This window comes from Homo sapiens, chromosome 14, assembly GCF_000001405.40.
Source record: "Homo sapiens chromosome 14, GRCh38.p14 Primary Assembly".
In the NCBI taxonomy this organism is placed as follows: domain Eukaryota; kingdom Metazoa; phylum Chordata; class Mammalia; order Primates; family Hominidae; genus Homo; species Homo sapiens.
In genome coordinates this window covers 83,916,249-83,935,467 of record NC_000014.9, presented here as the reverse complement: position 1 = coordinate 83,935,467, position 19,219 = coordinate 83,916,249, and positions in this window count along the sequence as shown.

The following is a 19,219-nucleotide window of genomic DNA, read 5'->3' as shown; positions in this document are numbered from 1 at the left end:
CATCCATGACTTTCTCATCTATCCGCAAACAGCTCCTCCTTTCTGGTTCCTTTTCCACAATTTAGAAATGTTTCCATCTTCAATACAAAACAAATAAAATCTAAATAATAATAGTAATAAAAAAACCTCCACTCTTAAGGAGAATAAATTGCTTCAACTTTTTGGAGGGTAATCTGAATATATCTGTTAAAGTTTAAACTTAATATTACTTTTTGTCCCCAAATTCTATTTTTACAGTTATATTCACATAACATAAATATATATTTATATAATTATTTATATAATATATAATATATATATTTAATAGCCCTGAAATGGTAGTGTAAGGAGATCCACAGACCCCTCCCCCAGTGAAACAGCCACAAGTAAAAATTATTTTAAAAATAACGATTAAAATCTCCAGCTCAACAAACAAAGAAACATTTATTCAAGAAAATGTACTAAATATCAGTAGAAAACACCAACAATCTGTAGCACTTGAGCCACAGTCTGTTCTCTCCCCACCACCCAGATAAGACTGACAGAATCTCCAATCTGGTTGAGTGTTGGTGAGAAGACTAGACACCCTTTGCTCTCATCTTCCACCTATGGATATGAATTCTCACTTGGAGGGGCAGGTGAGCAGCATTTCTCATTCACGTAAACTCCAAGTTGCAGAAGATACATTTTTAATGAGTGCAACTAAGAAGTCAGGTCTCTTTTTCTTTATGCAGCCACCATTCATAGGTTAGAGGCTATGCCCCAGGCAGGAGAGGATGGGAATCTTAGAGCCCAATCACCATCACTCCAGCATGATCATAGGGTAATATTCCATGCAAAGAGAAATAAGCCAAGGAGAGGAGAGGCAACAAACTCTTCTCAAGTTCTCTCATCTTTGACCCAGAGATTTTGATGAGAGAGAGAGAGAGAGAGAGAGAGAGAGAGAGAGAGAGACAGAGAGAAATTTCATAAGAACAGAGAGCTCCAAAACTCTTTTCCCCCAAAATTGACTTATATGTAGAATATATAAAGAACTCTTACAATGTAATAATAAAATGACACATATTCTAATTAAAAATGGTCAAAGGACCACAATAGACATTTTTCCAAATAAGATATTTCAATAGCTAATAAGAACATGAAAAGATGCTTGACCTCATTAGCCATCAGGTAAATGTAAACCAAAACCACATGATATATCACTTCACCCTCAATGTGATGGCAAAAATTAAAAAGTTAATTAAAAAAAGCATTAGTAAAGATGGGGAGAAATTTGAAGCCTCATAAACTGCGATTAAGAATGTAAAATGGTGTAGCCGCTTTGAAAAGCAGTCTATCAGTTTCCCAAGAGCTTAAACAAGGACTTATCATGTGATCTAGTATTTCCACTCCTCAAGAAAAATGAAAAGAAAATGCCTATGCAAAAAAATAGAAGCTTGAATGTTCATAGCAACATTATTCATAATAACCACAAAGTAGACACAACCCAGATGTCCATTACATGATGAATGTATAAATAAAATGTAATATGTCCATTCAATGAAATATTGTTTGGCAATAAAAATAAACTACTACTGATACACGCTACCAAATAGATGAATCTTATAAACATTGTACTAAATGAAAGAAGTCAATCACAAAAGACCACATAATATATTATTCAATTTACATAAAACATCTAGTACAAGCAATTTTATAGAGACAGAAGATAGATTGGTATTGGCCGAGGCCTAGAGAAGTTGGGAGCAAATGGGGAGTGACTGCTGATGGATACGGAATTACTTTTTGGGGCAATGAAAATGTTCTAAAATTGATTGCGGTGATGCTTGAACAACTTCACATTCTAAGCATACTTTAAAAGGGTATATTTTATGGTATCTGAATTATATCTCAACAAAACTGTTATAAAATTATACGCAAACACATTGAACACACACACAAAGGTGTGTATTTGGAATCCTTGCTTGCCATAGTAAATGAACACCTGAATACCTAGATTGATTAAATTATAAAATTTTAATATAAGAGACTAGGCATCTACCTTGAAAAGTAATATATCTGAACGTATTGACCTGACTAGATATCCAAAATATCTTTCTCTGGATCTTTTAAAAATTAAATATGTTTCAAACAATTGTGTTGTAATATTTCTCTTTAAAAATTATGTATACAATTTTCCATGGCATATTAGTATTTAAACTAAAAAATATCTAGAAAAATATACCTCAAAATATTAACAGTGATACCAGAAGTGAAACACAGGAAAATGTCTACATATTTATAGACTTACTAGGAAAGTAGCTGATCTGTAGTGCTTTTGAGTGAATAAATAATCACACTCTGAGAGGCGATAATATATTGGTGTTATTAGACCTTACACATGTGAGTGGATGGAATTTGGGTGCTGGAAGTACAGGGAAAAGCTAATGGCTTTTAATTCCCTTCTGCTATGTGTCAGATACTGTGCTAAGCACTTTCATTAAATAACTAGTTGAATTAGTTCTGGTGTAGCTATTAATACTTTGAAAAGCAGTCCGTCAGTTTCTCGAGCATTTAAACAAGGATTTATCATATAATCTAGTATTTCTATGCTCCTCAAGAGAAATGAAAAAAAAGTCTACATAAAAATGGAAGCATTAATGTTCATAGTAACATTATTCATAATAGCCACAAAGTAGACAAAACACAAATGTCCATTAGCTGATAAATATATAAATAGAATGTGATATATCCATTTAATGAAAAAATATTTGGCAATAAAAATATCAATAATTCTTCAAAATGGTATTTATATCACCTGATTGAGTTAATTGAATTAGATGATAAACTTGATTATCTTAGCAAATTATTTGGAAAAGCAAAATGAAATATAATAAGAATTATTAAAACTCTTACTATGAGCCAATATTCTGAGCACTTTACATGAATTAAGTAACTTTTAATCCTCAAAACAATGTAAGAGAGAATTTGTAATCATTATCTTCATTTTACAGATGAGATCATTGAGGTCCAGTGAGCTTAATGAACTTACTAGGAGCTATACAAATTTTTTTTTTTTTTTTGAGATGGAGTCTTGCTCTGTCACCCAGGCTGGAGTGCAGTGGCATGATCTCAGCTCACTGCAAGCTCTGCCTCCTGGGTTCACGCCATTTTCCTGCCTCAGCCTCCCAAGTAGCTGGGACTACAGGCGCCTGCCACCATGCCCGGCTAATTTTTATTTTTTGTATTTTTAGTAGAGACAGGGTTTCACTGTGTTAGCCAGGATGGTCTCGATCTCCTGACCTTGTGATCCGATGGCCTCAGCCTCCCAAAGTGCTGGAATTACAGGCGTGAGTCAACGTGCCTGGCCAGGGCTGTACAAATTTTATCCAGGCTTCCTGATTCTATCTCATGACTTCTAACTACTAGAATGTCTGTAATAATTCATAATTGCTATTGGGATAATGACAGTAATGATGGAGTTTATAGTAACAACAGATAAACTGGAAGCAAAAGGCAAAATACAAAACATATCTTGAAGTGAAAAGTAGCAAGCTTGTTTTAAAATTGAAACTGGTAAATACTAAAAGTCAATTACAAGTTTTCATTGAGAAACTGAGAAATGATTGGTAATCTGGTAATCTGGGCAGAAATAGAAATTGTACTGAGGAGTAAAATAATCTCATATATTTAGAAATATCTTTGGTAATGGTAATGTACTTTGTGAATGAAGAGAACTACTATACAAATAATACCAGTTATATAAACTGCACAACATCATCATTTATTAAAGGTGAGTTAATAGTTAAAATTATAAAAGTAACAGTAAAATAAGGAGTCAAGGGAAGTTATGGGACTGGTATATTATGAGGATATGGAAGGGTGAGTGAATTCAGCAAGGACAAAGGACTCAAAAACTATTTCCTCAAAATTTTTCATAAGCCTGTTGACAGTCAGTGTTTAGATATCTTTGTTTTCTTAATTTATACAAATTTATGGGAATACATAAGAAATTTTGTATATGCATATCCTAGGTAGTGATTAAGTCAGGGTATTTATGATGTCAATCACCCAAGTACAGTACATTTTGTTAGCTATAGTCCACTTACTCTGCTAACAGACATTGAATGTATTCCTTCTATTTTATTATATGGTTGCAAACTTTAATGCAGTTCTCTTCATTCTCCCCTTTTTCCCCCATTCACCCTTCCTGATCTCTATTATTTATCTCTCTACTCTCTAACTCCATGTGATCAAATTTTTTAGCTCTCACATATGAGGGAGAATGTACAATATTTGTGTTTTTGTGTCTGGCTTATTTCATTTAAAATAATGACTTCCAGTTGCATCCATGTTCCTGCTAATGACAGGATATTATTCTTTTTTATGGCTGAATAGTATTCCACTGTGTATGTATACCACATTTTCTTGATGCATTCATCTGTTGATAAACACTTAGGTTGATTCCGTATCTCTGGTATGGTGAATAATGCTGCAGTAAACATGTGAGTGCAGGTATCTCGTTGATCTATTGATTTATTTTCCTTTGGAATTCCAATTCTAGTAGTGGAATTGATGGATTGAATGGTAATTATATATATTAGTCTGTTTTCATGATGCTGATAAAGACATACCTGAGACTGGGAAGAAAAAGAGGTTTAATTGGACTTACAGTTCCACATGGCTGGGGAGGCCTCAGAATCACGGTGAGAGGTGAAAGGCACTTCTTGCATGGTGGTGGCGAGAGAAAATAAGGAGGAAACAAAAGTGGGAACCCCTGATAAACCCATCAGATCTTGTGCGACTTATTCACTATCATGAGAATAGCAAGGGAAAGACCAGACCCCATGATTCAATTACCTCCCACCAGGTCCCTCCCACAACATGTGGGAATTCTGGGAGATACAATTCAAGTTGAGATTTGGGTGGAGACACAGCCAAATCATATCATTCTGCCCCTGTCCCCTTCAAATCTCATGTTCTCACATTTAAAAACCAATTATGCTTTCCGAGCAGTTCCCCAAAGTCTTAGCTCATTTCACCATTAACCCAAAAGTCCACAGACCAAACTCTCATCTGAGACAAGGCAAGTCCCTTTTGCCTATGAACTTGTAAAATCAAACGCAAACTATTTACTTTTTAGACAGAATGGGCATACAGTTATTGGGTAAATGCAGCCATTCTAAATGGGAGGAATTGGCCAAAACAAAGGGGTTACTGGGCCCATGGAAGTCTAAAATCCAGCAGGGCCATCAAATCTTAAAGCTACAAAATGATCTCCTTTGACTCCAGATCTCACATCCAGGTCACACTGATGCAAGAGGTGGGTTGCCATGGTCTTGGGCAGCTCCACTGTTGTGGCTTTGCAGGGTACAGCCTCCCTCCTGGCTGCTTTCTCAGGCTGGCATTGAGTGTCTGCAGCTTTTCCAGGCACACAGTACGAGCTGTTGGTGGATCTACCATTCTAGGGTCTGGAGGACTGTGGTGCTCTTCTCACAGCTCCACTAGCTAGTGTTCCAGTAGGTACTCTGTGTTGGGGTTCCAACCCCACATTTCTCTTTGGTACTGTCCTAGCAGAGGTTCTCCATGAGGGACTCGCCCCTGCAGCAAACTTCTGCCTGGGCATCCAGGCATTTCCACACATCTTCTGAAATCTAGGCAGAGGTTCCCAAACCTCAATTCTTGATTTCTGTGCACCCACAGGCTCAACACCACATGGAAGCTACCAAGGTTTGGGGCTTCCACCTTCTGAGGCCACAGCCCAAGCAGTACCTTGGCCCTTTTCAGCTATGGCTGGAGTGGCTGGAACACAGGGCACCAAGTCCCTAGGCTGCACATGGCACAGGGAACCTGGGCCTGGCCCACAAAACCACTTTTTCCTCCTAGGTCTCCAGGCTTGTGATGGGAGGGGCTGCCCTGAAGGTCTCTGATATGGCCTGGAGATATTTTTTCCCATTGTTTTGGGGATTAATGTTAGCCTCCTTACTACTTACACACATTTTTGCAGCTGGGCTGAATTTCTCCCCAGAAAATGGGTTTTTCTTTTCTATCCCTTAGTCAGGCTGCAAATTTTCCAAACTTTTATGCTCTGCTTTCCTTATAAAACTGAATGCCTTTAACAGTACCCAAGTCATTTCTTGAATGCTTTGCTGCTTAGAAATTTATTCTGCCAGATACCCTAAATTATCATTCTCAAGTTCAAAGTTACACAAATTTCTATGGAAGGGGCACAATGCTGCCAGTTTCTTTGCTAAAACATAACAAGAGTCACCTTTACTCCAGTTTCCAACAAGTTCCTCATCTCCGTCTGAGACCACTTCAGCCTGGACCTTATTGTCCATATCATTATCAGCATTTTGGGCAAAGCCATGAAACAAGTCTCTAAGAAGTTTCAGTTTCCCACATTTTCCTCTCTTCTTCTGAGCCCTCCAAACTGTTCCAACCTCTTCCTTTTACCCAATTCCAAAGTCACTTCCACGTTTTTGGGTATCTTTTCAGCAATGCCCCACTCTCAGTACCAATTTACTGTATTAGTCTGTTTTCATGATGCTGATAAAGACATACCCAAGACCTGGAAGAAAAAGAGGTTTAATTGGACTTACAGTTCCACATGGCTGGGGAGGCCTCAGAATCATGGTGAGAGGCAAAAGGCACTTCTTACACGGCGACAGCAAGAGAAAATGAGGATGAAGCAGAAGCAGAAACCCCTGATAAACCCATCAGATCTCAAGAAACGTATTTAGTATCATGTGAATAGCACGGGAAAAACTGGCCCCCATGATTTAATTACCTCTCCCTGGGTCCTTCCCACAACATGTGGGAATTCTGGGAGATAAAATTCAAGTTGAGATTTGAGTGGGGACACAGCCAAACCATCTCATTATATTTTTAGTTTATTGGGAAATTTCCATAATGTTTTCCATAGTGACTGTATTAGTTTACATTCCTACCAACAGGGTATACTAGTTCTCTTTTCTCTGTATTCTTGTCAACATCTATTAAAGGTTTTGCCTTCTTAATAATAGCCATTAGCAATTTTTATTTTAAAAATTTTAGTTTTATTAATTTGTAAAGGCATTATTAATAATTGTTTTTTAAATAATAGTCACTGACTAGTGTAAGATAATATCTCATGATGGCTTTGATTTGCATTTCTCTAAGGATAGTGATGTTGAGCCCTTTTCCATATACTTGTTCACCTTTTTTTGTCTTTTTTTTGAAAAACGTTCATTCATGTCCTTGCTTACTTTTTAATTAGATTTTTTTTCCGTTGAAATGAGTCCCTTGTATATTCTAGATATTAGTAACCTGTCAGATGAATAGTTTGCAAATATTTTCTCCCCATTTAACAGGTTGTATTCACTATGTTGCTTGTTCCCTTTGCAGTGCCAAAGATTTTCAATTTAATATAGTCCCGTTTGGTCTATTTTTGTTTCTATTGCCTATAATTCTGAGGTCTTAGTCATAATTTTTTTTTGCCTTGATCATTGTCTGGGACAGTTTTCTCCAGGCTTTTGCTAGTACTTTTATAGTTTTGAGTCTTATGTTTAAGTCTTTAGTTCATTTGTTTGATTTTTTTATATGGTGAGAGATAGAGCTCTAGCTATGTTCTGTATATGTGGGTATCCAATTTTCCCAATACCATTTATTGAAAAGGATGTCCTTTCCCCAGTGTAAGATATTGCTGGCTTTATCAAAAATCAATTGACTGTAAATATGTAGGTTTATTTCTAGGCTCTCTATCCTGTTCCATTGGTGTATGTGTCTTTTTATACCAACACCATATTGTTTTGGTTACTACAACCTTGTAATATAATTTGAAGTTAGGGAATGTGATGCCTCCAACTCTTGTTTTTTTTTTTTCTTTGCTCAATATTATGTTGGCTATTTACACTCATTCTTGGTTCCATATGACTATTAGTATCTCTAATTCTGTGAAAAAAAATGATGTTGGTATCATGACAGGGAATATGTTGAATCTGTAGATTGCTTTAGGCAGTATGGTAATTTTTACCATTTCGATTCTTTCAATTCATCAGCATGGGATGTTTTTCCATTTGTTTGTGTCATCTTCAATTATTTTCATCAATGTTTTGTAGTTTTCCTTGTAGAGATCTTTCACTTCCTTAGTGAAATTTATTCCAGGGTATTTTTGGTAGCTATTGTAAATATAATTTTTTTTATTTCTTTCTCAGCTAGATCATTACTTTTCTATGGTAATGCTACAGATTTTTGTATGTTGCTTTTATGCTCTGCAACTTTATAGGATTCTTTCATCAATCTAAGAGTTTTTTGGTGAAGTCTTAAAGATTTTCTAGATATAAGATGTTATCATCAGCAAAGGGGAACAATTTGACTTCCTGTTTTCCAATTTGGATGCCTTTTGTTTATTTCTCTTGCTTATTTTCTCTATCTAGAGCTTCCAGTACTATGTTGAATAGGAGCAGTAAAAGTGGGCATGCTTGTTTTGTTCCAGTTCTTAGAGAAAAGACTTTCAATTTTTAGCTGATGTTAGCTGTGGATTTGTCATAAATGACCTTTATTATGCTGAGGCATGTTTTTTTTATGCCCAGTTTGTTGAGAGACTTTGTCATGAAAGGATATTAAATTTTATCATAGGCTTTATCAAACACTCTACAGGGTGGGAAAACGTATTTGTAAACTATGCATTCAACAAAGGTCTAATATTCAGAATCTATAAGGAATTTAAACAAAACAAGCAAAACAAACAAACTACAACAAAAAACAAGTAACTCGCTAAAAAGTATGCAAAAGACATGAGGAGACATTTCTCAAAAGAAGACATACACAAGGCCAACAAGCATATAAAAAAATGCTCGATATCACTAATTATTAGAGAAATGCAACAAAACCACAATGAGATACCATCTCATACTAGTCAGACTCTTTTTAATTCATTAAAAAGGAGTTGCTCTTTTTCTTTAGTTGTAGACAGTTTGACTATAGTGTGCCATGGAGAAGCCCTTTCTGCATTGTATCCACCTGAGAATCACTGAGCTTCCTGTATCTGAATGTCTGAATCTTTTGCTAGACTTAAGAGCTTTTTCACCTATTACTTAATTAAATAGGCTTTCTAATTCTTTTTTTTTTTTTTTTTGTCTCATTGCCCTTGGGGATACTGATAATTTGAATGTCCAATTGCTTTACACTGTCCCAAATGTCAGGAAGCCCTTGCTCATTTTTTAAAAAAATTCTTTTTTAAAACTTTTTGTCTGATTATATTATTTCAAAAGACATCTTCTTCAAGTTCTGAGATTATTTCTTCTGCCTGGATTAGACTATTGTTGAAGCCTCCAAATATATTTTGTATTTCTTCAAGCAAATTCTGTAGTCCCCAAATTTTTATTTTGTTCTTTTAAAAAATATCTATCTTTTTGGTAATTTTAAAATTTATATCATGAATTGTTTTCTGATATCTTTGTATTGATTTTTAGAATTCTCTTATATCTCACTAAGCTTCTTTAAAATCAAATCTTGGCCAGGCACAGTGGCTTACACTTGTAATTCCAACACTTTTGGAGGTCAAATCAAGAGAATCATTTGAGGCCAGGAGTTGGAGACCACCTTGGACAACATAGTGAGATGCCAAGACGCCATCTGTACAAAGTAGAAAAACTTCGGCATGATACTGCGTGCGTGTAGTTCTAGATACTCATGAGGCTAAGGTGCAAGGCTCACTTGAGCCCAGGAGTTTGAGGCTGCAGTGAGCTAAAATCCTGCCACTACACTCCAGCCTGAGCAGCAGGATGAGGTCCTGTCTGTAAAATAAATAAATATAGTAAAGTAAAACAAAATCAACTTTTAAATTACATATCTTAGAATTCAGAACTTTCTTTTTGATTAAGGTCTAGTGTAAGATCTAGTGCTAGAGAGTCATTTTGTTCCTTTGCAGCTTCATATTCCCCCTTTTTTTGGTTCATGTTTCCTGTTTCCCTATGTTGATATCTACACATCTAGTGTGATAATCTAACATTGCTATCAAGACCTAACTGAGACTGGGTAATTTACAAATAAAAGAGGTTTAATTGGCTCACAGTTCTGCAGGCTGTACAGGAAGCATGGCTGGGGAGGCATCAGGAAACTTTCAATCATGGCAAAAGGTGAAGGGGAAGCTGGCACATGCTGGAGAAGGAGGAAGAGAGTAAAAGGAGAGACGCTACATACTTTTAAACAACTAGATCTCGTGAGAACTCACTCATTATCACAAAAACAGCAAGGGGGATGTCCGCCCTCCTGATCAAATCACCTCCCACTAGGCTCCTCCTCTAACACTGGGGATTGCAATTCAACATGAGATTTGGGTGGGGACACAAATCCAAACCATATCAATTACTTCTTCCTAATTTTTAATTTATTTTCAAAGGGGAATAAGTTTCTCTGAAGACGTATTTATGGTGTTGGTTGAGTAGGTTACTTTGGCTTTAAAGCTAGGTAATGTAGTCTCTGTGCGTGGTAACATAGTCTCTATATGATTTCTTTGGGTGTAAATAGCAACAGTGGCATATATGATTCTCTCAGAGGGTTATTAGTGGAGGTTGAAGTTGTGCTGGAAGCTGTGATACCAAATGGGCCAATCTTTAGTCCCCCATGGTGGCAGTAGTGGGCTGAGCATACTTATCTTAGTGCTCCAAGGTGGTATACATTGGCACTTGTTTTGGCAATTACCAGTGGGCTTATTCTTGAACCTCCAAGTGGCTTGCTTGGATGCCTTTAATAGCAGTGATAAACTTGGTGGATGATCAGGTTCCTAGGCCCCTGAGCAGCTCGTATAGCACTGGGTGATGGCAGTAGGAGTGATGGGACAATTCTCTGGGTCCTGACTGGTGCACATTTATGCCGGTGGTGGCTGCAGTGGGCTAGCTGGGCCATACTCCAGTCCCACAGTTGGTGCTCAAAGGTAGGCGTCAGCAGAAATGATAGCAGCTGGAAGGTTAGGCCCAGCCTCAGGCCCCCAGGAGGAGTGCCCAGGTGCCTCAGGCTTCCCAGTGGTGACAGCAGGAAGCAGCCATGGTGGGCATGGGTGGGGCAATCCTCAGGCTTCAGGTGGAGCACTCAAGTGAGGCATAGTGGCAGCCATGGTGATGATGAGGCCATGCCACTGGAGAAGGTAAGACCATCCTCAGTGGCCACAACTTGGGCTGGTAGGTGAGGTATGTGTCGTCTGTCTTACACCCATTCAAGGCAGGGCTCTCCATCAAGCCTTAACAGCTTTAGCCTGCACCAAGTCACATCCCCATTCCAGCTGTGGGAACTCAAACCCAGTGGCCCCCCCTCACCCCACTTGTGTCCCAATCATCATCTCACCATCACTCTCTTCCTGGAACCAATAGCTGCAGCCCATGTCTTGCTTGATTCTTAGTCCTGGTGGTGGGAATGCTCCCAGCTCACTTTTCTGTTATAACAGTGACACCCTTGTTTCCATAACACCTCACTCCCTGAGCAACTGTGCCCCAGGGCAGTATGCAATTTGCCAAAGAATTGAAAGTGGATCCTCGCTGTAGCTCCTTAGTTCTCAGGAAGTTTGTTGGGCCTAAAACAAGCAGTCTCGCTGGAGCAGTTTTGTTCCACATTCTTCTGGCAGCTTGCTGTGTTAGTTTCAGTGATTGGGAGGTTCTTCCATGGCCAGCATTGCACGATTCCACGGTAGGAACGTGGGCCACGGGAAGTCTTTCATTCACCCTTTCCTTGCATTTAGACATCACTGCCAGCTCCCAGGAGATCCCAACCAGGCAGGCTGCCTCTCTCCTTCCTGCAAGCTTTTGGTGTTTCTTGTCACTTCTCTGTTGAATTCCACCATCCTTTCTTGGATAATACATTCAAAGAGTGACTGTCTATACACTATTTTGGTTCTTCTTAGTGGAGAAGGTGAGCATAAAATGCTTCTATTCAGACATCTTGAAGCCTGTCCTCTCTATTCTTTTATTATTAATGTTGTTATTACTTTATCTGTATGTGCTCCCTTCTTTTATTCAAAGAGCATTATATTACTTTAATAATAAATTTTTGTCAGGGAAAAAATAGTATGTTTCTTTTTCTCTTTTTAATTTTTTTTTTTTTTGAGAAGGGGTCTCACATGGTCTTTCAGGTTGGAGTGCAGTGGCGTCCCACGCTCACTGCAGCCTCCACCTCCCAAGCTAAGGTAATCCTTCAGCTTCTTGAATAGCTGGAGCTACAGGAACGCAGCACCATGTCCAACTAATTTTTGTACTTTTTGTAGAGGCAGGGTCTCACCATGTTGCCCAGTCTGGTCTCAAACTTCTGGGCTCAAGTGATCCTCCTACCCTCAGCCTCCCAAAATGCTGGAATTACAAGCATGAGCCATCACGCCCAGCCAAAAGTAGCATGTTTCTAAAGGGATAGCCTAAATATTAGTGACTTTTTTTTTATGATTTTTGCTACTCCATAATGTCTTTAATAGGAGTCCATTTATACTTCCAAAAATTGGCTTAGCATGTGTGTATTATGTTAGACATTTTTACTCTCATTATTATTATTTTCCTTTTTTTGACACACTGCAAACTCACAAATTACTCCATTGTTCAAGCTGACAATTTTTAGATTGCACAATGTACATTTGTACCTAAGGAGTATTTTTGAGAAATAATAATAAACTGTTATTTATTTAAAATTCAGCATTCAATATGTGTGTACATTTGACTCTTATTAAATTGAAATAACCTAAGGGTTTTAAGATGAACAGTTATTTCTCTCATGGATCATAATAATTACTTTAGATCAACTTTTTAATTCCTTTTAGGCCTGTTTTAAAAAATACACCTGGGATCTCCAAAGATTGCATTATGTTCAGTTAGGTAAATAATGCATTTTAAAATAATTATTTAAATATGTTTAAAAACATTTATGCTTCTTTGTAATCAATTGTAAAATACTTGAGAATTGTTTGTTGTATGTTGGTTGATCAGATTTTGCCTATTCCAATGGTTATTACACAATAAGAAATCTCAGGTATCAAAGTAATAAATTATTATAATCTATAGTTTATTCATTTTTAGGGAGGGAAAGAGGGCTGTCTTCTCCGATAATAAAGGCAAGAAATCATTTAGTGCAATTATTTTAAGGAAAATTTTTTCTAGATCAATGGGTAGGGACACAGAATGAGGGATACCTCATTCCTTAAGAAATGTATCTTGAGCTCATAAATTACTTCAAATGGCTCACAGAGCCTTGAAGCTGAATAGCATTCAAAAGAAAAATTAATAGGAGGGATTATAATTGTTTAAAAGCAAAGTTATGATCTTCTGTTTAGATAACGTGCATGTATATTCATTAAGCTTCTCGAAGTCTCACAAATTTTTATACCACTATAACTGTATTAAAGGGTATCAGATAAAATTCTAAGGAAGATATCTTTTTAATAATATGCCCAAAACATTACACATATTCTAGTGTAAAGTTGAAAACTTGAAAAAGGAAAAAAATTTAACTCCAGACTTCTGATGATGAAATCATATTTCTTCCATGAGTTTATACCAGAATTCTATTTTGGCGAACATAAGTACTCCAATTTTAGATTTCTCTTGATGGTTGCTTTATTTTCACACATAAGGTAATGCCACAGGCCACAACATGACATTGTATTAACGTGTAACATGTGAAAAGTTCATAAGGGAAGGGAAATGCTTTTTATTCATGTTTTACTCCAAAGTACAAATGTACAAATGTAGTTACGTACATATTAGACCGTTACCAAAACATTGCCTTTGTACTATACTATATGAGGGGTATGTGTGTGTCTGTGCGTGTGTGTGTATTTGTGTGAGTTTATATGTATGCATATTACAAATAATATGTATTGAATTTCCATTAAAATTGAAATTAATTGAAAATATAAATCAGATAAATTTTAGTGGTAGCTGATCAAGGATTAGTTTTAATTACATATTATCATTTGATGTTGACTCTCTTCGAGGGCTCTTGAGAGATACTGATGCTATGGACAGATGAAATGACTTGGCTATTGAAATTATATTTTTATTTTATTTTACCAATCTGACATCTGTCTGAAACTTTTTCTCCTTAGACTACCACCTCCCCATTTCCCCACCCCTCACACTTCCCAGCCTCTGGTAACATCCATTCTAATCTCTGCCCCTGTGAATTTAACTTTTTTAGATTCCCAATGTAAGTGAGACAATATAGAATTTGTCTTTCTGTGTCTAGCTTCTTTCACCGAGCGTGATGGCCTCCAAGTTCATGCATGTTTTTGCACATGACAAGGTTTCCTTCTATTTTTAGGACTGAGTAGTACCTTATGGTATACCATATTTTCTTTATTCATTTATCTGTTTATGAACATGTAGGTTGATTCCATATCTTGGGTATTGTGAATAATGCTTCAATAAACATGGAAGTGTAAATAGCTCACTGACATACTGATTAGATTTCGTTTGGACATATGTCCAGAAGTGGAATTGCTGAATCATATGGTAATTTATTTTTAATTTTTGGAGGAACTTTCATATTGTTTTTCATAATGGCTGTATTAATGTACATTTCCACCCACAGTTTACAAGGGTTTCCTTTTCTCCATATCCTCACCAACACTTGTCATCTCTTGTCTTTTTGACAGTAGCCATTCTAACAGGTATGAGGTAATACCTCACTGTGGTTTTAATTTGAATTTCCCTGATAATTCATGATGTTGACCATTTTTTCATACATCTACTAGCCATTTGCATGTCTTCTTTTGAAAAATGTCTGTTCAGGTCCTTTACCCATTTTTAAATCAGGTTATTTGTTTTTTTGCGATTGAGTTGTTACAGTTCCTTATATAGATTGGATCTTAGTTATTAACTCCTTATGAGATGTATAGTTTACAAATAGTTGATCTCATTCTGTAGACTGTACATTCTATTGCTTTGTGTGCTGTGCAGAAGCTTTTCAGTTTTAATTTGCTACAATCCCATTCATCTAATTTTGCTTTTGTTGCCTGTGCTTTATGAGTCATATCTAAAAATTATTTGCCATTTGCCAAGACCAATGTTGTAAAACCTTTCTTCAGTGTTTTCTTCTAGTAAATTTACAGTTATAGTTCTTATGTTTAATTAATTAATTCATTCATTTTAAATTCATTTTTAATTATGGGGTAAGTGAGATGTTCGATTTTATTCTTCTGCATGTGGATATCCAGTTTTTCCAAAACCATTTATTGAAGAGATTATAATTTCCCCATTATGGGCCTTTGGCACCTGTGTTGAAGAAATCAATTGACTATAAATTGGTGGATTTATTTATGAGCTCTCTACATTGTTCCACTGGTCTTTATGTCTGTTTTCCTGCTACCATGATATTTGAATGACTATATCTTTCGAATACATTTTGAAAGCTGGTAGCATTTCTCTGGCTTTTATCTTTTTGTTCAAGATTGCTTAGGCTATTCAGGATCTTTTTTATTTCTATAGTAACTTTAGGATTTTTTGAAATATTTCTGTGAAAAAAAAGTCATTGGAAGTGTGATATGAATTGCATTGAATCTGTAGATCTCTTTGGGTACTGTGGACATTTTTTTTTTTTGAGACGGTCTCGCTCCGTCGCCCAGGCTGGAGTGCAGTAGCGCAATCTTGGCTCACTGCAAGCTCCACCTGCCGGGTTCCCACCATTTTCCCGCCGCAGCCTCCCTAGTAGCTGGGACTGCAAGCACGTGCCACCATACCCAGCTAATTTTGTTTTTGTATTTTTAGTAGAGACGGGGTTTCAGCGTGTTAGCCAGGATGGTCTCGATCTCCTGACCTTGTGATCCGCCTGCCTTGGCCTCCCAAAGTGCTGGAATTACAACTATGAACATTTTGACAATATTAATTCTTCCAGTCCATGAACACAGAATATGTTTTCATTTATTTGTGTTTTCTTCAATATCTTTTGTCAGTGTTTTATAGTTTTCAATATAAAGATTTTTTGTTTCCTTGGTTTAATTTATTCCTATGAATTGTATTATTCTTAATACTATTATAAATGGAATTTTTTTCTTGATTTCTTTTTAGGATATTTGCTGTCAATGTTAGTTTACAGAAACAACATTGATGTTTGCATGTTTATTTTGTATCCACCAACTTATTGAATTCATTTATTTCTTACAGTTTTTGGGTGAAGTATTCAGTGTTTTCTTTATAAGATGTCATCTGCAAACAAAGACAACTTTGCTTCTTTCTTTTCTGATTTACATGCCTTTTGTGTATTTTTTTCTTGTCTATAGGATTTCATTGCTTTGACTAGGATTTCCAGTACTACGATGAATAGAAGTGGCAGGAGTAGGTATCCTTTACTTGTTCCTGAAAAATTCTAATTTAATTTTTTCCACAAAAAATGTTTCCAGCAATGAATTTTCATGAGATTTACTTTAGTTTTCTTAAGACATTGAACTCCTTCTTGTTAAATATCAGCAATATTGAAGTGTCACCCAGAAGACATATTCACACATTTGCTAAATATCTCTAAGATGCTCAGGGACTGGATCTCTTATAAGTCATCCAGTCGGTAATTTTATATAGAATTGCTTGATATTTGAACCAAGATGTGAAGCTTCACACATGGGCTGATAGTTCCCTAGAAATCCACTTACTACTTACTGAAGGTTTTCAACCAAATCATAAGATGAACTTGTATCTAAGCCAGAAGGATAAACCAAAAATATTTTAGAAGCTTCTTGCCCATAAGCATGAGAACTAGAATTCACGCTCAATGTTTGGCATCAACTCTATGGTACCCAGCTGACAGTTGGTCTGAAGAACAAATTTCAGTGTCAAAAAAATTAAAAAGTTGGCAAGAATTAGAAAAATTTTCGGTGATCCAGCCAAGCAATCTGGGATTCTGAGTAGGAATCCTAATCCTGGGAATCCAAAGCAGCTGACCAGTCAGACAGATTAAATTGGCATATAGACTTTCACACAGAGGAAACTTAATATAATAAAAAGGACATTTTGGAATTGGAGGGGGACTAAGATCATTAACATTTACAATGCTGCTGATGTAAAAATATATGATTTTTTTCTTTTTCTTTTTTTTTGAAATGGAGTCTTACTCTGTCACCCAGGCTGGAGTGCAGTGGCATGATCTTGGGTCACTGCAACCTCCACCTCCTGGGTTCAAGTGATTCTCCATGCCTCAGCCTCCCGAGTAGGTGGGTTTACAGGTGCATGCCACCACGCCCAGCTAATTTTTTGTATTTTTAGTAGAGACGGGGTTTCACTATGTTGGCCAGGCTGGTCTCGAACTCCTGACCTCATGATCCACCCACATAGGAATCCCAAAGTGCTGGGATTACAGGCTTGAGCCACCACACCAGGCTGAAGGTATATAATTTATTTTACCTCACTGGGGAATACTTTACTAAATTATGTTTTCTTAAAAAACCCAAAGCGTTTTGTATTGTGGTATTTACTAATTGCCTTGGCTATCACAATTGTAATTGATCATCGTGTCATATTTGCTTTATATCTGTGTTGTAGCTAGTCTTGAGAGATGGCCCCCAATAAACTACGCTTCCTGGATTTTGTACTCACTACAACATTGATTTTCCTTTCTTTTCTGATTTTTTAACTTGTTCTATCAAATACTGAGAAAGATTAAAATTTCAAATATAATTCTGGATATATCCATTTCTCCCTGCAGTTCTGCTGTTTTTGCTTTTTGTATTTGAGGCTCTGTTATTGGTACATATAAGTTTAAGACTGTTACATTTTCCCACTGAATTGGCCATTTGTCATTATGAAATGTTCTTCTCTATCTCCAGTAAGACTCCTTATCTTGAACTCTACTATGGTGTATGTTAATATAGTCATTCTACTTTTCTTAAGCTGTTTGTACTTTATGTCTAATTTTTTTCTTTTTACTTTAACTAGTTGATAAACTAGTTGATGATCTGGTTGATAAATCTAGTTTATATACTTCAAAATAATTAAATAATAAACATTATGTGTTTTTTACCATAAGAACTAGATTAGGAAAATAAAATTAAAAAACGGGTATCTGGATCATCCTCAAAATATTTGAAAATTATGCTTCTAAATAACCCATACACCACATCAAAGAATAAATAATAAGAGAAATTAAAACACATTTTAAACACAATTAATATTAAAATAAAACATACAAAAAATTATCATGTATAAAGCAATCCATCTTGGCTATTCCAGGCTGCTATAACAAAACACCACAGACTGGGTGGCTTATGAACAATAGAAGTTTATTTCTTACAGTTCTGAAGGCTGGAATTATAAGGGGAAGGCACCAGTATTGGCAGGTTCTTGTGAGGACCTTCTGTATTGAAGACTGCTGACTTCTTGTATTCTCGAAAGGCAGAAAGAGAACAAGCTAGCTTTCTGGTCTCTTCTTCTAAGAGCACTAATCTCATTCATGAGGGTGGAGCTCTCAGACTTAATTACCTCTTAAAGTCCCCATTTCTAAATACTGCACATTGGAAATTCAATTTCAACATATGAAGTTTGTGGTTACACTAATATTCAGTCCATAACAAACCTTTGAGGGAAATTTACATTTACTGTACATGCTCATATTGGGAAATAGTTTGTTTAATGTTGACATTATTTCTTCCTTAAAATGTTTAGTAGAACTCTACAGTGCATCTGTCCAGGCCAAGAACTTTCAGTTGTGGGTATTGTAGAATTGAATTTCTTTGACACATAAAGGGATTTTCAGACTTCCTATTTCTTCTTTGTCTGTTCTGGTAATATGAGTATTCCAAGCATTGTCTATTTTATCTCTATAATTGAATTTTAATTGGCATCAAATCATCAATAATTTATATTTTTTCATCCTTTTAATGTCTGTGGTATTTATACTAGGACTTTTAAGTTTTCTAATAACTGCCAGCTCTAGAGTCCAAAGGCTAAGTCACTACAACCTTAGAGTCAAGAAGGATCACCACTGCTCTCTTCCCTCTTCTTTTCGTGTGCTATAACAGGAGCAGGATAAAATTATGATTAGCAAGTTGAGTAAGGATGGCTGATGCAAACAACTTAAGCAACACTTCACCTACTTTAGCCTTACCATCTTATTCTAGTTCTGTGTTGGGTCTGATTGATTTCTAACAAGATTAATCTGACAGAAACTTGCTTCTTGCCTGCAGCGAGGCCCTGACTACCAGCACAAGGGTTTTGTATTAACATAACTTCAGTTCCCTCATTCTCATGGCCACTTTTACTATGGAAAATGCTCAAAAGCAGGGTAGTTAACTCCTTGATTGAAGAATCTTTAGCCAATT